The 22268-nt window shown below is 49.0% G+C and overlaps 1 protein-coding gene and 1 long non-coding RNA gene across 3 annotated transcripts; one reads left to right on the top strand and one right to left on the bottom strand.

The window, feature by feature from the left end:
• Window positions 1-1013: 1013 nt before the first annotated feature.
• On the top strand, window positions 1014-7223 carry LOC100132741 (uncharacterized). The gene is made up of 3 exons (NR_034004.1): window positions 1014-1119; window positions 4639-4861; window positions 6489-7223. It is a non-coding gene; the product is annotated as an uncharacterized LOC100132741 (long non-coding RNA).
• A 10964-nt stretch (window positions 7224-18187) lies between these two features.
• CXorf49B (chromosome X open reading frame 49B) lies at window positions 18188-22043 on the bottom strand. Of its 2 annotated transcripts, NM_001145139.2 has the most exons (6): window positions 20745-22043; window positions 20012-20168; window positions 19392-19468; window positions 19064-19109; window positions 18468-18509; window positions 18188-18361 (listed from the first exon to the last, which is right to left on the bottom strand). In NM_001145139.2, the coding sequence occupies exons 1-5, from the start codon at window positions 21966-21968 to the stop codon at window positions 18469-18471; spliced, it is 1545 nt and encodes a 514-aa protein (NP_001138611.1). In that variant the 5' UTR covers window positions 21969-22043; the 3' UTR covers window positions 18188-18361; window position 18468. The 2 variants fall into 2 exon arrangements, 1 of the variants encoding a protein (NP_001138611.1); NR_165034.1 differs by lacking the exon at window positions 20745-22043 and having other exon boundaries at window positions 18192-18361; window positions 20012-20175.
• Between the last annotated feature and the right edge of the window lie 225 nt (window positions 22044-22268).

Here is a 22268-nt window from a genome sequence, read left to right as displayed (position 1 = left end):
TGGCACAGCTGCTGTGGAAAACAGTATGGCGGTTACTCAGAAAACTAAAAAGAGAATTACCATATGATCCAGTAATTCCATTCTGTGTCTATATCGAAAAAATAGAAATCAGAGTCTCAGAGATATTTGTACATCCGTGCTCATAGCAGCATTATTCATGAGAGCCAAGAGATGGAAGCAACCCAAGTGTCCACTGATGGGTGAATACAGAAACTAAATGTGGTCCACTATTTGGCCCTTACAATGAATTACGATTTGACCTGTAAAAGGATGGAGTTCTGATACAGGCTACAACGTGGATAAAATTTTAGGACCTTATGCTATGAAATGAGCCAGTCACAAAAGGACAAATACTACATGATTCCGCCTATATACGGGATCTAAAATATTCAAACTCAGAAACGGCAGGTAGAATGGTGGTTTCCAGAGGCTGCGGGGCAGGGAAAAATGAGGAGTTGTTTAATGGGTATACATTTCAGTTTTGCAGTTGAAGACATGCTGGAGATTGGCTGCACAGCAATGCAAATATACTTAACACTACTGAACCCAAAACTGAAAAACACTTAAGATGGTAAATTTTATGTTACGTGTATTTTAACATAACTCAATAGAAAAGTGGTGTAATTTCTGTCTCTGGAGTGGGTGTCGGGGGTGCACGGCAACATATTCAAGCTTATGTACAAGGCGTTTGAGGTCGGGGCATGGAAACATACTGAGGCACTGTGTGTATGTTATTTGTGCATGAGAATGAAACTCCTTGACCCTGAAAACAGGACGGGGAGTGGAGTGTGTGGTGTGATAAGGAACGCTGAAAACAGCCTCCCGAGAATGCGGTTTGAGTGCTTTTACCAGGCCACAGGTGTCTCATGACCCGACCTCAAAAAGGCCATCTAGTGGATGTTTGTGGTCTAACAAGCCCTTTCAATGAATACTTGGCGGACAGATGCTGGGGCGGAGTCTCTTAGAAGAGCTGCCCCCGGCCCCCCTCAGCTGGATTTGTCTGAGAACTCATTCTTGGCGTTCACTGCAAGCTATAAGCTCTGCAAGTGGTGACCCCGACGTGATCGCCTTGAAGTTACGCGTGAAGGAGGAGAGCTCATTACTTTTCGGGGAATCCTGGTAAGGGACAGTCCTGACTCCCATCAGGAGGACGGGACCCATGCGTAAACTATCGCGGGTTGGGTTATCATGGGTCAGGAAATGACCAAAGAACAGAAAGTATTTTTTAAAACAGTGCAACAGCTACTTAAGGCTATCCAGTGCACTGTAGAGCCTGGAGCTCTACACAAGCTTATGCTTTTAATTTGGCAGAAATGCCCTTGGTTTCCTGATCAAGGAACCTTAGATTTAGGGTTATGAGAGCAGGTAGGTCGCTGCCTGAAAAGAGGATATGAGCAGGGTCATTTTACTAATGTTACTATTTTGACCACCTGGGCGCTGGTACGCTCTGCGTTGTATCCTCTTTATCTGCCAGATCGTGGTTAGATCGCCCATTATCTCCACCTGAAAAGAATTCAGAAGATTTGAAGGGAGAGATTCCTCTCCCCACTTCATTCCGTTCTATGGGGAATAAGGAAGAGGTTTTTTTCTAGTGAGGACAAACAGGAACCAGAACAGTGGTTGGGGGGTGGGGGTGCTCCTCTCTCTACCTCATTCCCTTCTGTAGGGCATAAGGAGGATTTTTTTTTTTTTTTTTTTTTTTAGTGAGGATAAGGACGGACGGGAGCCTTTTCCTCCCCCTGTAGAAAAGCCATTGCCCTTCTTTCCTCCACCCTTAAAAGGACCTGCATTTGTTGGCCCTGTTCAGCCAACAGCGCCTTCCATCCCCCTTAAGGAGATTGGAGGCCGCCCAAGGGACGGCTCTTAGATAAGACCCCCGGTCAGCGAACATCTGTATGATCTGTATGATTGGGTGGCTGCGTCTCCTCGACTAACTTCCCTGCTGGAGGGGTGCGTCCAGGAGGGAAGGAAAGTGGCTGATTATGATTGTCTTCCTAATATGCAAGTTCCCATTTGCTACTTCCAGCATCAGCCTTTCTGGCCTTGTCTTTTTTCTGTTTCACTGGAGTAAAAGGGGAAGTTGCATGCTGCCTCCTGGGTTTTATCCCAGATAGCTCTAGCTTTCTTGCTGCCCACAGAGGCCTGGGGCAGGAGAGTTGCTGAGATGCCATGGAGTGCACACTTGGTCACTGGCAGCCTGGGCAGGTTGCCCCTTTCTGGGTTTGTGGTGACGGAGGGAAGGCCAAAAGGCACAGACCGAGTCCCCGGGTGGCTGCAGGCAGCTCCAGCCCAGTCCTGAGGATCCGCCTCACCATGGTCACGTGCCTTAGTAACTGTGCCCAGGAAGTGGCCTGCTGCTTGCCGTGCTGCTGCTTTTCCTACTTCTGCCCTTCCCTGCCACTCCTCACATGTCTCAGTTGACGAGCAATTCCTTGTCTTCCCTGGCCCCCTAGGGAAAGGGCTGAGAAATAGTCCATGTGCACCCGGACCTTACTAGCCTAAGGTGGGCAAAGGAGTGTGGAGCAGCCCGGAGTACAGAGCCCTGGAGGAGGAGCCCACTAATAAGGGGCGCTCTCCCATAGCCATATATTAAATGCTAACTAGACTGAGGGGGACGAGCTCTGCCAGCTGCTGTCATCTTCAGAAGATAGACGCAGCAGTAAGGAGTGTTTGTTTTGCTTTTTTACAAAATGTTTAAAAACACTGTGGTTAAGAAACTTCAAAGCAGACCCTGTGCTGCATGTCTGCTCCTCCCCTGAGCCTCTCTGCTTGGGGGTGGTAAAAATAATAAAAAGCCCAGTATATTTTCAGTACCTCACCTAACAGGGTTGGCTGCAGGCGTAGGTGGCCTAGAAGATAAGGGGAGTGTTTTTCTCCCAGCCTGTTACCTTCTTGCCTCCAGCCTCCGCACTTCCACACACAGTTTACCACCCGGTCATTCTCTGGCCTCTTACTGCCGCTTGTACTCTTCCTTCCTTCCTCTCAGGGTAAGGACAGCAACAAGTGGCAGGCTATTAAAAAGAGAAGCTGCCTAAGGGGCCCAGAACGAATAGAAAGAAACTGGCCACAGCCCTACTTTCCCAAGCTCACTTCTAAGACATTCCAGCTAAAGGCTGATGCAGGAAAATGGCTAACACCAAAGGACATTTTAAAAAGCTTTTTTTTGTTTTCTTTTCTTTTTAACACACTTAAGCTAACTCAATGCAGGTTTATTATCCTGGCGACTTGCAGTCACTTTCTAATGGCTTTCAAGGGCCAAAATATAGTAAAAATCACTTAAAATATCCATCCTTTCCATGCCTTAGTTTAACAGGTAGGCTTTATCTTTTGCCATTTCGGTATTTTATATGTTATGTACCTGTCTCATAATCCCTCTAAACTTATACAAAAGACTACAGATATAATAGCTTCTCTTCTCATAAAAGGACGCCAACGTTGCGTCCAGCTGTCAGGATAAGACCCTGCTACTCTTTTCCTACCTTTAAGCAAGGAACAATTTCACACTCTCTTAGCTTGTGATCTTGATTGGCAAGTAGCAATGGCTGTCTTTATTGGTAATATCAGCTTTCATTTACCAGCCTCTAAGCTCCTGAACTTTTTACAAACTGTACCTGTTTAATTTGTATGTATTGTTGTCTCTGAGCCTTTACTTCATGCCACCACTGTCTTTACAGATGGTTAAAAAAAAACCCAAAAACTGAAAAAGCAGCTATAGTGTGGCAAGATGCCATGCAGAACTGGCAGTACAAAATCCAGGAGCATTTTAAAAACTATGCAACAGGCGGAATTAGGTGCCCTGATATTGGCCTTACAAACTTTTCCTCACCAAGACATAAATATCGTTGGTGATTCCGCTTATGTGGTGTATAGTATTACTCATTTAGATCTTGCACATGTGAAGGGCATTACTAATAAACCCCTATTAGCTTTGTTTCTTGCAGCGCAAGAGCTCCTCTGTGCCTGTCATCACCCTCTTTACATCACACATATTCGCCGTCATTCTGGGCTACCTGGTCCTTATCAGAAGGGAATGCTTGAGCTGATGCTCTGGTACGACCACAGATGTGCTTTGCAAATTCTCCTGCTTTTTTGCAAGCTCAAGCTGATCATGTTGTTTTTTCATCGGAACGCCCGCCGTCTTAAACAACAGCTTCATTTGACACTTACTCAAGCTTGCATGATTATTAAAACTTGTCCTAATTGCCAACAGCATTCTCTTTCCCCCTTTTCCTTAGGGCTTAGTGCCAACCTACGAGGTCTGGTGCCTAATGCTATCTGGCAAACTAATGTCACTCGGTGTCCACCCTTTGGACGTTTTAAATTTCTCCATGTTACCGTGGACACATATACAGGCCTAATACATGCTACCTCCCAGACAGGAGAAAAAACTAAAGATGCAATCGCTCATTTGTTTAAATCTATGATAACTCTAAGCCTTCCACACACTATAAAAACTAATAATGGACCTTCCTATCTTAGTGCTCGATTTACATATGCATTGCAACTTTGGCACATGCAACATAAAACTGATATTCCTTATAACTCAACCAGTCAGGCCATTGTTAAACGAGCTCATCAAACTCTTAAAGTATATCTTAATTTAAAAAGGGCGGGGGGGAATATGGGGCTCTCTTCTAGAGAACAGGACCAGTCGTTGGAGAACCAACCAACAATGATGGTGATGACTCGGAAGGCACCTGACATCACCTGGGGACAGCTAAAGAAATTGAATCAACAAGCATCTATCCAGCTTGCCGCCGTGGAAGCCCCTGCAACTGCAGACAATCGGTTTCTTACATATCTGGTGGCAATTGGGGAAACTTCTGAGAAAGTAAGACAGACATGGATGTTGGGGTGGCAGGTAATTCTTGTCCTTTGCTAAGTGGGATCAGCTTAAGGACATGTTTATTGGAGTCATGTTCTAAATCCCCCTGTTTTTAATGTTATTACATGGTGGGATGCTGACCCGCCTTTGTCATCTAATGATACTTCTTGGGCAGGAGGCCGATGGATGCCTCTGTCTTACCCCGTAACTGAAAATTTGGGATGGATTCAACTTAATTACTCCTCGATTTTATTGTCTAGTAATCCCCCTCTTTGTTTTTCCACAATAGCACATGATAAGTGTGTTACTCTCATCCCTCAGGAGTATCTTTACTATCAGCCTAAAAGGGATGCTAAGCTTGCAAACTTGACCTTTATTTCTACTATTACCACTAATCTTACTGAGGTCTCTAATGAAGCTACACAAGTGCCTGATCTTCCTATATGCCGTCCGAGTAGGGACTGGCGATAAAAGTTTGAGGCCGTCCAGTGGTCGCCGTGCAGACAGCCTGCTCCACGTCAAGGGCCTCTGTTTGATAATGGCACCTTACTTGATTGGGGTCCCCGTGGTAATCTTATGTCTGCAAATCAGACTATTGGACTTGGGAGTCCCTCCAGTAGTCCTATTACCTAGTCAGAGTATGGGCTTTCAGGACCAGTATTACAAGTGAGAGGGAAACAAGCTTTAAGCCCTGCTCATACCCAAATTTGGAGATTAGGATTTCCTTTTTTTGAACGGGTTCTTTCACATGGTGAGTATATTACTGGCGGTGGCAACCATACCCTCTCTTTGCATAATAATGTTACTGACACAGTCCTGATTTGTACCACGCACCCTTATATACTTTTGTTTGGGCAAGGTGTTCCTAACATAGAGCAGAATCAATCTTTTTATAGTATTAAAGTCTCTTCCAGTAGTTGGTATGCTGCATGCTTGTCCATCGAAACATTACACAGTTGGATATAACCTATGTCATGATCTTAAAATGGCGTGCAGAATTGTGGCTGCCTGTAAATTTAACCTGGAGCTGAAAAGGAGATTCCACCCTGCAGCTATTTAGAAAATCACTATCTCATACTCGGAAAAAAAAAAAAAAAAAAGATTCCTGGCCACTTTAATTGCCTTTTTAGTCTCAGCTATTATTATATTAGCAACTGCTGCTACTGCAGCTGTTTCTCTGACAGAATCTATTCACACAGCCTCAGTGGTGAACCACATGGTGTATAATGTAACCCGTGAATTTCAAGAACAGGTAAATATAGATAAAACCATTCTGTCTCGCCCGGTCTCTTGAAGCCGCTGTTGAATAACTGGGGAATCAGCAGCAGGCATTCATTACCCATCAAAATTTACATTGTTGATTGGCAATATAATTCTATCTGTGTCACGCCTCTGCCATATAATAGCTCCCAATATGCTTGGGAGAGAGTGAAAGCACATCTGCAAGGGGCTTATCACGACCATTTGTCTTCTCAAATTTCCATTCTTGAGTGTGAATTAAAGAAACACCTTGAAGAATGGTCGCAGCAATTACAAACAAGTATCCTTCAGCAATTACAAGAAGGCTTTCAATGGTTAAACCCGAACACTTGGTTGTCTGGGTTAAACATACGCATTTGGGTGATGGCCGCTGTACTTATTCTTTTTTGTATCTGTTTGCTAGGCACTTGCAGATGGCTCTGTGCTGCCACCCGACGCATCTATGACCAGGGAAGAATCATGGAAGCTTACCTTGCATTGGATGACCAGCACGCTATAAGAATTAAAGAAGGGGGGAATATGGCGGGGTGCACGACAGCATATTCAAGCTTATGTACAAGGCGTTTGAGGTCGGGGCATGGAAACATACTGAGGCACTGTGTGTATGTTATTTGTGCATGAGAATGAAACTCCTTGACCCTGAAAACAGGACGGGGAGTGGAGTGTGTGGTGTGATAAGGAACGCTGAAAACAGCCTCCCGAGAATGCGGTTTGAGTGCTTTTACCAGGCCACAGGTGTCTCATGACCCGACCTCAAAAAGGCCATCTAGTGGATGTTTGTGGTCTAACAAGCCCTTTCAATGAATACTTGGCGGACAGATGCTGGGGCGGAGTCTCTTAGAAGAGCTGCCCCCGGCCCCCCTCAGCTGGATTTGTCTGAGAACTCATTCTTGGCGTTCACTGCAAGCTATAAGCTCTGCGATGGGCCCTGAAAAAAAAAAATCGATACTACGATGACTCTCATATGTATTTCTTCAGCCCAGATCCAGACCTTTGTCTACTCAGCTTCTCCACGTGGATACCTAATAGGCATCTCAAATTTAAATATCCAAAACCAAACTCCTGACATTAAACACAAGAAGCAAGAAATATGAACATATTTTCTGATTCCACTAATATAAAAGTACATAACAGTCAACACCAAACCATATTATTCTTATTTCTTGAATTGAACTTTTATTTTAAGTTCAGAGGTACATGTACAGGTTTGTTACATAGGTAAACTTGTGTCGTGGGGGTTTCTTGTAGAAATTGTTTCGTCACCCAGTGATTAAGCCTAGTACCCATTCGTTATTTTTCCTGCTCCTCTCCATCCTCCCACCCTCCACCGTCCAATAGGCCCCAGTGTGTGTTGTTCCCCTCTTTGTGTCCCCGTGTTCTCATGGTTTAGCTCCCACTTGTAAGTGGGAATATGCGATATTTGGTTTTCTGTTCCTGCATTAGTTTGCTAAGGATAATGGTCTCCAGATCCAACCATGTTCCTGCAAAGGACCTGATCTCATTCTTTTTTATGGCCGCATAGTATCCCGTGGTGTATATGTACCACATTTTCTTTATCCAGTCTACCATTGATGGGCATTTAGGTTGATTCCATGTCTTTGCTATTGTGAATAGTGCTGCAATGAATATACACGTGCACGTGTCTTGATAACAGAATGATTTATTATATTCCTTTGGGTATATGCTCAGCGATGAGATTGCTGGGCCGAATGGTATTTCTGTCTTTAGGTCTTCGAGGAATCACCACACTGTCTTCCACAATGGTTAAACTAATTTACACTCTCACCAACAGTGTATAAGTGTTCCTTTTTCTCTGCAACCTCGCCAGTATCCATTATTCTTTTACTTTGTAGTAATAGCCATTCTGACTGGCGTGAGATGGTATCTCATTGTGGTTTTGATTTGCATTTCTCTAATGGTCAGTGATGTTGAGCTTTCTTTCACAGGATTGTTGGCCGCATGTACGTCTTGTTTTGAAAAGTGACTGTTCGTGTCCTTTGCCCACTTTTTAATGGGGTTGTTTGGTTTTTTCCTTGTAAACTTGTTTAAGTTCCTTATAGATGCTAGATATTAGACCTTTGTCAGATCCATAGTCTGCAAAAGTTTTCTCTTATTCTGTAGGTTGTCTGTTCACTCTGCTGGTAGTTTCCTTTAGTGTGCAGAGCTCTTTAGTTTAATTAGATCCCATTTGTCAATTTTTGCTTTTGTTGTAATTGCTCTTGGTGTCTTCGTCATGAAATCTTTGCCCATTCCTTATCCAGAAAATGATTGCCTGGGTTGCCTTTCAGGGATTTTATAGCTTGGGGTTTTACATTTAAGTCTTTAATCCATGTTGAGTTAACTTTTGTGTATGGTGTGATATAGTTTGGCTGTGTTCCCACCCAAATCTCCTCTTGAACTGTAGCTCCCATAATCCCCACGTGTTGTGGGAGGGATCCGGTGGGCGGTAATTGAGTCACGGGGGTGGATTTTTCCTGTGCTGTTCTCATGATAGCGAATAAGTCTCATGAGATCTCATGGTTTTATAAAGGGCAGTTCCCCTGCACATGCTGTCTTCCCTGTCGCCATGTAACGCACATCCTTTGCTCCTCCTTCGCCTTCTGCCATGATTGTGAGGCCTCCCAAGGCATGTGGAACTGTGAGTCCGTTAAACTTCTTTTCTTTATAAATTACCCAGTCTCGGGTATGTCTTTATTAGCAGCAAGAGAACGGACTAGTACCTGGTGTAAGAAAGGGGTTCAGTTTCAGTCTTCCATATATGGCTAGCCAGTTATCCCAGCACCGTTTGCTGAATAGGGAATCCTTTCCCCATTGCTTGCTTTCGTCAGGTTTGTCAAAGACCAGATAGTTGTAGGTGTGGGGCCTCATTTCTGGGTTCTCTATTGTGTTCCATTGGTCTCCATGTCTGTTTTTGTACCAGTACCATGCTGTTTTGGTTAGTGTAGGCTTGCGGTATAGTTTGAAGTCGGGTAGCGTGATGCCTCCAGCTTTGTTCTTTTTCACTTAGAATTGCCTTGGCCATTCAGACTCTTTTTCAGTTCCATATGAATTTTAAAATAGGTTTCCTCGTACTGTGAAGAATGCCAAAGGTAACTTAATAGGAATCGCATTGAATCTGCAAATTGCTTTGGGCAGTATGGCCACTTTAATGATATTGATTCTTCCTATTCATGAGCAGAAATGTTTTTCCATTTGTTTGTCACGTCTCTGATTTCCTTGAGCAGTATTTTGTAGTTCTTCTTGTAGAGATCTTTCACCTCCCTGGTGTGGTGTATTCCTGGGTATCTTGGTGTGTGTAGCAATTATGAATGGGACTGTGTTCCCGATTTGGCTCTCTGCTTGACTGTTGTTGGTGTATACGAATGTTAGCGATTTTTCACATTGATTTGGTATCCTGAGACTTTGCTGAAGTTGATTATCAGCTTAAGGAGCTTTGGGGCTGAGACTGTGTGGTTTTCTAGATTTAGGAACATGTCGTCTGCAGGCATACTGTAGTATTAAAAGAATGTAATATAGGACATAGGACAGAAAAACGTAGAGAAAAAAGAGGAAAGAAGGATCACAAATGTAAATGTGTTGGTTTCCTCTTGAAGGAGGAATGAGGCTGAGATCAGGCAGAGACACCCCAGGAGCTTTGGGGAATGCTGGCGGTGTTCTCCTCTGTGACATGGGGGTGTTTCTGTAGAGGTGCCCTTGATAATCACTTATTAAACAACACACACATATTGTGAGGTTCTCTCTATGTATGTTACATTTCAAAATAAAGAGGGGCAAAATTGCTAATAACAAATAACACACATTTGTAGTTAAACACTTCTCACAATCCACAGACCTGGAAATGACTGATTAGTTTTCTGTATGTGTAGTTTTCCAGTTTTAAGAATGTTCTACAAATGGAATCATACATTATGTAGAGTTTCATATTTGGTGTCTTTAGCACAATGAAATACATATAAGACCTCTAGAACTGCAATGTACTCTTTCTTGACCTCAGTACTCAATACGTGTTTTCCTCACTTCACAATAGTTCATTCACAGTCGATTGGTTTTCTAAACTTGTATATATGTGTAGTATGCTTTATAAATATCATATGATAGTTAACTTTATGTAATTTGTTATATCTTGGTAATGGACTTTTCTTAAAAATGGACAGTATCCCTAAGAATACCCCGTACATTTCCATTGCAAAAAAAAAAAAAAAAAAAAGTTATTCCATCATGTGAGTATACCACAATTAACTGATATAAACTATGAAGGTAAAAATTTGCGTTGCTGCCCCTTAACGTTGTTGCCTTAATTTCTTTTTCTCAGGTCCTAAGTCGTCTGCCCCTGAGAATAAGTGGATGGGGAGGTGACAAATCTCCCGTGAGAAAAATGTACCAAGTGCATGGTGTTCCAACACATAATCACAAATTCTGAATGAAAACTTGCCACCCAAATATAAAATATTTACCAAAACATCGAAATTAATATCACAATTATGTAAGCATCGTTCCTACGATGTTTGGTGAAATCTATGAGAATTTGAAATCAAGCTATCACTATCAATAAACTGATATTAGTACTCGCAAGGAGATCTGCTATAAATAGAGAAAATAAAATTTTGGTTATCCTTCTGGTTATAAAATACTTACCTGTTTAATGCAGTGTTACTTCCCTTAGCACTATTGTTTTGTCTGCTTATGGTGGCAGGCAACGTACAGAAAGAAAACATCACAGTTTATGTGCATAGTTTAATAAATGATTGTCCAGTGCACCTGCACAGGAACGCTCCCCTAGGTCCCAGAGAAGAACACCGCCAGCATTCCCCAGAGCCTCCTGGGGTGTCCCTGCCTGAGCTCAGCCCCACTCCTACTGCAAGGGGAAACCAACATCCTGACTTTTCTGATTGTCCTTTCCTTGCTCTTCTCTGTGGTTTTATATCCTAAGTATGCATTCTTCAACAAGGTAGGTTAGTGTTGCCTGTCATTTGAAGTTATAGGAATGGAATCATTAAGCATGTCCGTGTTGTCCCTTGCTTCTTTCCCTCGATGTTATCTTTGTAAGATTCGCGCCTATTATTCCATGGAGGAGTACTTTGTACTTTTCCGTTGCTGAAATAGTATTCCATTGTATTAACATACCACAATGTATTCATTCCGTCCCATGGAAGTTGTGATTTTCATTGTTTCCCATATTTGGGACTGGATGATTACAAAAATACTACTCATAAACCCTTGTCGGCACCAGTAAAGGAGTCCTGAGAGGGACGTGTAGGCTGCTAAAAGCATATATTTAAAAGAGGATCGCAGACAATTAAAGAGAAAACGTTCGAAAAAGAAGCCCAACGTAAGACCAAGGAAAGTAGAAGGAAGTCATCAAGGTAAAAGCAGAAATCAGTGAAAGTGGAAACAAGCATAAGGATCACAAAACCAGAAGTTGGGTGTTTGGAAGAAGAATGAAATTGGTAAACCTCTTGTGAGACTGGTCAAGAAAACAAGGGAGAAGGGCACCGCTATCAGGAAAGAAAAGGGAGAAATAAGCACAAACGATGTTACGTCCGTTCTCGTGTTGCTATATAGAAATATCCAAGACCGAGTCATTTATAAAGAGAAGAGCTCATGGTTCTGCAGGCTGTACTGGTAGCATAGCGGCTTCTGCTTCTAGGAGGACTCAGGAAACTTGCAATCATGGCAGAAGGCAAAACAGGAGCAGGTACTTGTTACATGGTAGGAGCAGGAGCAAGAGAGAGAGAACAGGGGGAGGTGTCACACACTTTTAAACAACCAGACTCATGACAACTCACTCGCGACCACAGGGACAGTACCAAGTGGATGCTGCTAAACCATTCCTGAGAAATCCAGCCCCATGATCCAGTCACCTCCCACCAGGCCCCACCTCCAGCATTAGAAGTCACAGTTTGACAGAAGACTTGGTGGGGACACGGTTCCAAGCCATATCATATGCAGACATCCAAAAGATAGAAAGAAGATATTGTGGGGGAACTGGATATTCACACAGAGTGCCCATGCAGTAACAGCGCATAGCTAATTAAATACAAAGAGAAGATGGCACTTTCACAATGGGGTAATCTGGAACAGCGCCCTGAGCACATGGTCAAGATGAACATCGCCAGTCATGAGACAAACCGACATGGAGAATCTGCTGATGTCGTGCACTGAGAAGAACAGCATGTCTGCTATGCAGTAGTCCTGCCAAAAATGTTATACCTACCTGAATCTAATCACAAGGAAGCCATTCGACAAACCTACGTTCAAGGGCTTCCTGACAATGACTGCACTGGTTTAAAGCACACTTTAAGGCGGGCTGATCACGAGATCAGGAGATGGAGACCATCCTGGTTAAGACGGTGAAACCCTGTCTCTACTAAAAAATACAAAAAATTAGCCGGGCGTGGTGGCGGGCGCCTGTAGTCCCAGCTACTCGGGAGGCTGAGGCAGGAGAATGGCGTGAACCCGGGAGGTGGAGCTTGCAGTGAGCCGAGATCGTGCCACTGTGCTCCAGCCTGGGCAACAGAGGGAGACTCCATCTCAAAAAAAAAAAAAAAAAAAAAGCACACTTTAAAGGACACTGAAGAGACTTGATGGGCCGGGAACCATGGCTCATGGCTCACCCCCGTAATCCCGTCAATTTGGGAGACCTAGGCGAGCGGTTGGCGCTTGCCTGTGGTCCAAGCTACTCAGGAGGCTGAGGTGGGAGGATGGCTTGAGCCTGGAGGTCGAGGCTACAGTGAGCCGGGTTCGTGACACTACATGCCAGCGTGGGCGACAGAGGGAGACCCTGTCTCAAAAGAGACTTGACAACTAAATGCAAAGCATGATGTTTGGTTGGAAAGAGAATTTTGTTAGAAAGCAGCTATGAGGGATACTATGGGACCATGGGGACAATCGGAGAATGTTTCATGTGATCATACAGTAGAAAATTGTGTGGTCTCCATGTTACATTTCCTGAGTGTCATGGTGGCATTAAGGTTTTGTGGGAGCCCATGCTTCCTTGCAGGCGATACATGCTGCAGTATTTACCGATGATGGATCTAAATGATTCCAAGGGATCTCAAATGATTCCACAAAACAATAAAACAAAAATACAAGCACGCACACACGCTTAGAGAAAGACAGGGGTGCAGGATGGAGGGAGGGCTGAAGCAGATGTGAGAAAGTGGTAACAACTGGAGGATGCAGTTGAAGAATATACGTATGGGTGCTCCTTGTGCTTTCCCTGCAACTAACTCTCCTGTGACTCCAAAATTTAAACAAATGCAATCTGGGATGAAGCGGGTATTATGGACCATTTTATTCCAGTCAGTTTGAAAACAGTGAAAAAGGTCACCAATTGCTAGGAAACCAAACCCGCCAAAACTGACACAAGAAGGCACAGCCAACCTGAACCGTTCCAGAATCATTACAGAAAGATATCAGTAGTCAAAGGCTTTCCACGAATGAACTCCAGGATTCACCACCACATTCTGACAAACATCCTAGGAATACATATCTTCCATTTTACACAAACTCGTGCAGAAAATTGAAAGTGAGGGGCCAGGCATGGTGGCTCACGCCTGTAATCCCAGCACTTTGGGAGGCCGAGGCGGGTCGATCACGAGGTCAGGAGATCCAGACCATCCTGGCTAACACGGTGAAACCCCATCTCTACCAAAAATTAAAAAAAAAAAAAAATTAGCCAGGCGTGGTGGCAGGCGCCTGTAGTCCCAGCTGCTTGGGAGGCTGAGGCAGGAGAATGGCGTGAACCTGGGACGCGGAGCTTGCAGTGAGCCGAGATCGTGCCACTGCACTCCAGCCTGGGCGACAGAGCGAGACTCCGTCTCAAAAAAAAAAAAAAAAAAAGAAAAGAAAAGAAAAGAAAAGAAAATTGAAAGGGAGGAACAATCCTCCACTCACTGTATGAGCTTGGCATAACCTCAATACCAAATCCTGCAAGGACACCTAGAGAAACATTGCAGGTCAATCACATGCTCGTGACATAGAAGTAAAAATTGGAAGCAGAATCTTAGCACACGGAAGCCTACAGGATATAAAAAGGAAAATACCTAATATGGCATGACTAATATTGGCTTCATCCCAGAAATACGAACTTAATTTCTCTTCAGAAAATACAGTGGTATAATTCCCCACATTAACAGATTCGGGGAGACAAACATGCTCTTCGTAGTCACAAAAGGTATTGACTAAATGTCAATTTCCATTTGAGATGTATTGCTGACAATTTTTTTTTTCTAAAAAGTCAGGACTATTGGGCTATAACTTACACAGAGGTCTGTGAGATCTCGTAAATGCGTATGGCTGTAAAAACACCAGCACAATATATATAGATATAGAGCATCGCCATCCCCCGCCCCCCTCCCCCGCCAGGTTCCCTTACGTCCTCTTGTACTGAACTCCTCGTCTTAACCCTCAGACCCTGGCAACCATCAATCTGTTTTGTGTTCCTAGAGTTTTGCCTTTTCCAGAATGTCATATAAATGGAATCACACGGTACGTAGCATGTGCATTTGGCTTCCTTCAGAGAAAGACACTCGGACTGCGATTCTCTAAAGGTGCAATGTACAGTTTCATGACCTGGGTAGTAGTTACCTGGCTTGATCACCTTACAACTGTTTGTCAGATGGCGGGCTTCTGAGTTCTCTCCGTGTGTGTGTGTGTGCGTGTGTGTGTGTGTGTATCATGTTTCAAACATATAATTTTACATTTAACTGCCTCTAACTTTTATATGTTGGTGAGGGTTATTAAATGACAATTATTAATACTTAAAGGGAAGTGAGTGATTATTGTAAAAGCCAGCAGAGTCATTTCCTCTGGGGTGTGCAAAGCGGGAGGTAGTGATCAGGATGGGGCAAACAGGAGGGTTCCAAAACCCTGCCAACCTTCTGTTCCTCGCTCTGCATGGTAGTGACCTGGACTTCAACATTGCACAACCACATGGGCGCCGTTCACGCTGGATCACGAGAACAGAGCACCCTGGAATCCCACAGATAGATGTGGCCACCCTGGCGGCCACAGCCTACGCGGCCGTACCTGGCAAACACTGGTGTTGGCCTCATCCTTCGAGGAAACGCATGATGAGAAAATGTGTGGGGAAAAGGAGGAGTTCTTGGGGTGGAGGTTGAGGACAGATGTGCGTGAGGTTGTCCGAGTTCACCCAGGAGTGTGTTCCAGGCGGGCTAAAGTTCATGGCTGGTACTCACCATGACCACTATGATCCTATGACTGCCATCTCACATCCCCGTGTGCGATGCCCTGGGCCTCCGCCACAGCCTGGAAGGCCACCCTAGGGGACTCTGGCTGGTGGGCGTGTGCAGAGACTCACACACCTTCGGCTCTAGCTGGAGTCTGAAGAGGAGATGCTCTTTTCTGCCCACAGAGTAAGAGGTCTCATCTGGAAATGTACCTGTGGCAGCCCTGGCGCCGGGTGTAGGTGGGATTCTGCTCAGGGCTCTGCCACTGTGGCTGCATCAAGGGCAGGCACTCAGCTCGCCAGACCTCCGGAGCCTGTCTGAGCTGAGTGGCAGGACAAGGCAGGAGGGGGTCTAAGGCTCTCCAGGCGGGACCCCACATTCCTCTTGGTGGGAGAGCAGGATTGAAGGAAAAGACAAAGCGGGACACTGAATGAGGGGAAGGGCTCGACCTCCTCCTCTCCACTGGGGCCCAGGTGGATTCCTCTAATCCGAGGAGTCTCGGATTCTGCACCTATTTCCCCTAGAACTGGAAGGCTCCACCCGCCCATGGCCTGGGGTGTACATGTTACAGCCTCATTATTGTGCGGGAGGTGGTCTGAATATGGAACCGAGGTGGTGTGCTGAGAGGCGGGGCTGGCAAATGCAGCCACCGGGAGATGGGTTCACGCCTTCCACGACTCCGTCCACGGGCTTCTCCCCTTCCACACCCTGTTGACCATGGCCCATGCCCCCCGGGGCAGTGCCTGGGGCTAGAGTTCTCACGCCACCAGAACCTGCCTAGATGTCTCCGGTGGCAAAAACCCAAGCTGGAGAGTCCCTGACGCACGTCTTCCCCCAGACACCAGCCCACTGTGTTATCCCCCCAAGAAACAACCACCTGTGTCAGGGTCAAAGCCTTGGCCCGAGGAATCAAGCCAACCCTCTCAGGGAAGGTGTTGGATTCCGATGGGGTAGGTCCCCACCAGCGTTCGTTTCCAGGTCTGAGGCCTGTGATTGGCCCACCACGTGCGTGATGGTCCCCCTCACTGAGCTCACACCATGGGCCCACAGGGAGACGCACAGGGAGTATGGGGGAAGGCAGACACCGGGCCCGACCAGCTGTCCCAGGGCAGTCCCTCTTTCCCACTTTCCACCCTCTCTGTGGGCATCCTGCCCGTCCATGTCTTGGTTAGCGGGTGTCGTGGCACCCTCCCACGGGAGCTCCCCACTTCTAGATGAGGCACCAACCAGCGACTCTGAGGTATTACCACTGCACCCACACATGGGAGTGCTGAGACATCCCATCCATCCCGCGGAGGATCGGGAGCCTACTGTGGCACCTCCAGCATTCTGAGAGCCCCGACACCTGTCCCTGTGTTTGGGGATGTCCCCTTCGTCCCACTCCACAGCCTTCTAGGTGTTAGAATTGAACAACACCTCCTGTGAAAGGGTAGATCCCAGCCCCGCTTTAGCGAATTCGATCCTTCATGGATCCTTCACCACTGCTTCCACTCCGTGAATCAGCCCATTCTCCCTCAACGGAGAGCACCCCCGATTAATTTGATTCCCAAGCGGGTGCTTGCAGGGGCGTGCACACACACATACACACGCTAACCTTGAATGGTATCTGTATTTCTCCTGTCCTTGTTCGACACCCTGTCTCTCGGCGATGGGAGCTGGCAGAACCTACACACACCTCCTCACTGGAATCGGAATCTGTGCCCAAATCTGGGACCTGCCCAGCCCAGGATTCTGGCTGAAGGAAGCGGGCGATCCCAACTGTCAGGGAGGGTGAAGGCAGAACAGGGAGCTCTAGGAAATCTCGTGTGACCTCGAGAGGCGGTCGGGAAGACTGACCAGGGACACAGAAATAATCACGTCCACAAAAACCTGTTGGCCTTGGGGGTGGTGAAACGGTATTTCACGGGAACCATCCAAGAACAGCCAGGCCTAGCATCCACACTTGCCCTGGAAACCAGCTGGCCATTTTCAAATCAATGGTATGGAGCCCACCGGCTGCAGAAGGGGCTGTTGGCTGCGTATAGGACACCAAGGATGTGGAAGCCGCCTTCCGCGTAGCTACCGGCGGGCGGTTTCCACCAGGTTGGCCCGCAGGCACCAGAACAGACTCAGTGCCCCCACCTCCAACCGAGAGACTGTCTTGCCCTTTTCTTCCGCACTCCAGGTATCTTCCCTTTGGCTCAGCTTCCCACCAGGATGTGGTTTCTGTCTCCACCTGGCTACTGAAGCTAAGGAGGAGATCTGACAGAATTTGGTAACTAAGGTTCAAAGGTGAGGGCTAAGAGGAACTGAGGATGCCAAGCGGGTTTTTGCCCCAGATGACCTGACCCTGTGCATGGTGGCACCGGAGGGACATAACGGCTCAAGGAAGAGGACTGGGCCCCTGAGGGGCGGGGAGGATGAGCTCCGTCTTGTTCCTCAACAGCATGGAAATAACCATGCAGGAAAGGCCACTGGCATCAAGCCACTGGGGAGAGCAAGGATGCTCACGATGGAAAGGATGGTGAGAGGGCAGAACAGAAACAGTGAACCGCAGGAGGAAAGGTGAGAGAGACGGGTTCTGGAAGGAGGCCATCAGTTCCTGCTGAAGGGGAGGGAGAATAGCGCTGAAGAAGGGGAACTGTGAGACCCCAAAGTGGGAAGAGAAGAGGAGGGACCGTGAGCAAGGCGTGTAGGAGAAAGGCAGGAAATGCTGCTGTGGCCGGGCAGGGCCCCCACACACCTAGACCCAGAGCACTGTGGTGAGCCCGAGTGCAGGGCTGCTGCTCAGAGGCCGGCCCAGGTGCCCCGCAGGGAGAGGGCCCACCACAGAGCACCAGGGGAACTGTTCTTCAACCGCCAGTGAACCGGGCAACACGCTGCAACCCCCAACACTCCCAACAATCGCAGAGAGGGCAGACCACAGACCACAGAATATGAGAACGACTTTATTTCAAATTGCTTTGAACTGCGTTGGGAAGGGGGCAAATGCAGCGGAAGAGAGGAAGCCCTGGCTGAACAGGATATGGAGGGAACCCGCTTGGCTGCAGCTCCGGAGCTCCAAAGGTGGCAGCTGTTCATCTTGTAGGAAGATGCTGGCTCCAACCTGTGAAACAGAGTAGGCTCAGGGACGGGCCCTCAGCCAGGGCCAGCCCACAGCCCTCCTAAGGTACCATGATTGTGGAAAGGGGCATGGTGTGTGCAACACTCACTTCAAAGGTCCTGGAACTTGTCAGTGAGGAACTGCATGGCCGCTGAAAGAGAGAGGCAGAAATGGACACTCCAGACCCAGGGAAACAGAAACCCACGCCCTGCCCCGGTGGGGAACCACCTAGCCCTGCAACCAGAAACCCCACCAGCCCTGGGACTGACTCACCCACCCGTCACCTGAATTAAATGTGGAAATGCCTTCTAAGCGGGAAAGTGGTTCTCAGGTGCTGGGCCATCCCAGTACCGTACAGAACGTATTTCAAAGACAGATAAGCCAGCCAGCAAGCAAACACCATACAAGTCATACCAGGCAGTAGTTAAAGGGGAAACACAGGTGGTATCTCTAACCGCCCTAAGAGAAGGAGAGTTCTGGGACTCGTGGACTAAGTGTACACGGAGTTCAGACGACACATTGCTGTCTGTGCACACCCCTAGCTGGAAAGGCACAGAAGGCTCCAGGGCCAGGTCTGCTTGATTCTCCTCCCCAGAGGAAAGTCAGTCCCAGTGATGCTGCCCATACCTGCAGCCCACCACCGCCCCCAACACCAGCAGAAAGACACCGCTGTCCATCCCTGCCCCAGCCAGGGCTCCCTCATACCTAGCTGCTGTGTAAGGTCCTCAATTTCCCTCTGCAGCCAGATGCACTAGACCAGCGGACACCGGAGGAAGATAAATGGTTGGTCAATTCTGTGCTCCTCTCTCCCCAGCCTCCCTGCAGCCCCCATAGCCTGCAGCCCAGTGGCGAGGTGGGTTGGCAGGGAACCCTCAATGGAAACGAGGCACCCTCTCTCCGTGGGGTGCAGAAGGTGGAGATGTGCGGAGTGCGGTGGGGAGGGAGGGGGCGGACGCAGAAATCAGTTTAACCTGGACACGGATCCCACCATCTACTGTGGACCTCTATTTCTAGGAGCCACACAAAGCATTACCCGAGGACAGCCCTGGGCTCCCGGGGGCTGCTGCTGCCTTTCCGGTCTTGGGGGATGGACAGGCGGCTGCTGGTTACCTGAAAGAGAACACAAAATCCAGCTTCCAAGCCTCCCAGTGAGGTGGAAAGGGCCTAGTGGTGTCTAATGTGAGGCAGCATCACCCTCTGCTGGTACACGTTGCCCCTGCTCTGCCCAGCAACTCCAACCCCGCTCTGGGACTGCCTTCACTGTTCCCCAGTGTAAGCTCATGTGCACCTGTGGCCCCCTAGCATTGTGACTCCAGGTTGGACTCCAGCAGTGCGGCAGCCACAGCCAGGCCCTGGGAGGGCCCATGTGGCTGAGCAGGACTTAACAGAAAAGGGCTCAGTACTGCCGAAAGTCTCCTTCCAGAGTTGGGAGTTTGGGGCGCTGCTCCAAATCGCCCCCCACCACACAAACCCCACTCAGAGAGGACGATGTGGCTTAAAGCCAGCCCAGTCAACACCCCGTTTCCCCGTGGGACAGCTGCCTGGGTGGGCAGGGAAGTCTGGGAATAAGGCTGAGCCCCCAGAAGCGACAGGGCCAGAGGTTTCCCTCCCGACCCCTCTCCCCTCCACCCCTATCAAACCCACAAGACTCACCGGAGGGTGCATGGCGTCTGGGCACGAGGCCTCCCGGGCTGTAGGCCGAGGGCTCTGAAGTTCCCGGAAGTTGGGGAGCTCTGATGTTGGGGTCGCTACTGCTGAATTCTCCACGACGCACAGACAGGCGAGGCAGTCCTGGCCTGTGGGTGGGAAGCTAAAACAGAAACTTCTGAGTCGGGCTGGCGATGGGGGCCGGCGGTGAGTACACGTGGGGAGGGGTTGTGGTAAGGTGGAGACTCCTGAGCCTAATCTCATTAGCACTTTCTCCCTCAGTCAGCCTCAGGCCAGGAGGCAGAGGCCAGCCAGGGAAAACACTGGGGATACTGAGATAGCCCGGGGCCGCCTGCCAGGTGGGTTGGGCAACAGCTAGGGAAGGAGGAATCAGGAAGTTGATGAGCCTAGATGCCCCAGCTTTGCAGCCCACACTTTAAGGCATCACCCGATCCAAACCAGCTGCCAGCCCTGCCTTCCACCCCAGCTCCTCTCTGCGGGCGGAGGCAGGACCCCTGCAGAGCGTCCAGAGGCATGGCCATCACACAAGAAGTGCTCCCTTTAACGTGTGCCCTTATGAGGAAGACACCCATCGGGCATTCTAGTGTCCCTGGGCTCCCGATGACAACCCTCGAGCAAGGGACAGAGGAGGCATGGGTAAACAGGTGTGTGCTGGAAGAGAGGAGGTGTGGGGGGAGGAGGGTAAAGAGGGAGAGGAGGGCGAGAAGGGCCTACTCACTTGGGCTCTTGGGACCTCATCTCTATTTGGGTCATTATCTTCTCTGGCCGCAGCCTGGGACTCCCTGGTCTTCCTCCCTGCTGGTTTCTTCCCAGGGCTGCTGTGCTTAGGCTTTTGGGGTTTCTTGGACATCCCCTGTGGCCGCACACCAGAGAATGGCGGGAAGGTGGCCGGCTCCGGGGGAGCGGCTGAGAGTCTCTCTCCGCAGGCAGGAAAGCCTCTCCCCAGGGCCAGTTGAGAGGCACCCCCTAGGGACTTCTTCCCCCCGGCCATCTTCCTCCTCGAAAGGCCCTGGGGCAGGGCCCCTGCAGCAGCAGCTCCTGAGCAGCTGGGCCTGACCTCCACCTTTCCCCAGGCCCTGCTCTGCATTTTCTTCTGGGGAGAGTCCTCCAGCTCTCCCACAGCCGGCCTCTCTGCGACTGGAGTGAGTCCGCGGGGAGCAGAGGTCAGGAAACGGCCCGGCACAGGCAGGTAACTCTCCTTGCAGTGGAAGCTTGCCTGTCTGGATGTGTCTGCTCGCTTCTTGGGGCTGCCGGGCTTGGCCTGGCTTCCTTCGTTGCGGCAAATGCCTACCTTCATCAGTGGTAAGTCGCTGCTCTCATCTGCGGAATCAGAGTCGTGGGTAGGCAGCCTGGTGGGGCCTTTCGCAGAGGGCTGCTGGGGATCCACGCGGAGGCTCCATCTGCTCTTCGAGCCCCTTTCCGGGTTCTTCCAGGCCCGCACTGGCCCAGGACCGCAGAGGTGGAGACGGCCGGCAGAGGCCTGCTGCCATTTTCCAGGGCTGTGGCCCAGCACGTCTCTCCCACTGGGACCGACCTCCGCATCTGCCCAATTCTCAGCCGACCCTTCGGCAGCGGCACCTTCTGGGAACGGGTGTCCCTGGACGCTGGGCGGCGGCACGATGGCGGCTGGTTCGTCAGCCAGGTAGAATGAGTAGTCCACAACGTCCCCTTGGTCATCCACCGGGGTGCCTGGCCGGCCTTCCCGGCCCCAGAGCACCACCCTTCCTTGCTCTATCAATTCGCTCTCAGACTCGAAGCTGAAGCCCTCTGGATCTGTGAACCCGCTCTCGCTCTTGCCATCGCCGCTGCCCGGCACCCCCAAATCGAGGCCGTGGCTGTGGGCCCCTGGGGCTCCGGGGCTGGCCGTGCGGGAGCCAGCCTTTTTGCCACCCTCCAGGTCGAAACCGGCCCCACAAACGGACACCTTGTCGGGGGAGCTCATGGCGCCAGTCCGGGCAGCCTGGGCTGCGGGGAGACGGTCGTCCTGGTAACGGCGGGAGCGGAGAGCTGAGCCCAGCCAAGCCCAGCTGAGCGGGCCACGCGACAGAAACAGTGAGGCCTTCGGGACACCACCGCCCTCGCCCCAGGCGGAAGTACCAGATGTCCGGGACAGCGAGTGGCTTCCTCGCGCCCTTGACGCCGGCGCCGAGCCTTCTCATTGGTCCCCGTCTGCCAACCAGCACGCCCTTTGTGGGGCGAGGTGCCTGAGCTTTAACCAATCGGGACACAGGCTCTTGGTTTG

The sequence above is a fragment of the Homo sapiens genome, chromosome X (assembly GCF_000001405.40).
Source record: "Homo sapiens chromosome X, GRCh38.p14 Primary Assembly".
Lineage (NCBI taxonomy): Eukaryota > Metazoa > Chordata > Mammalia > Primates > Hominidae > Homo > Homo sapiens.
This window is presented reverse-complemented; position numbering and strand designations above follow the sequence as displayed.

What these genes read in the sequence shown, in the direction of transcription:
- CXorf49B (NM_001145139.2), bottom strand. Translation starts at nt 21,968, where the DNA reads ATGAGCTCCCCCGACAAGGTGTCCGTTTGTGGGGCCGGTTTCGACCTG. An exon ending in CAGACGCCATGCACCCTCCG is followed by an intron (nt 19,469 to 20,011) that starts GTGAGTCTTGTG and finishes GTTCTCTTTCAG; the next exon opens with GTAACCAGCAGCCGCCTGTC. An exon ending in GGACCTTACACAGCAGCTAG is followed by an intron (nt 18,510 to 19,063) that starts GTATGAGGGAGC and finishes TCTCTCTTTCAG; the next exon opens with CGGCCATGCAGTTCCTCACT.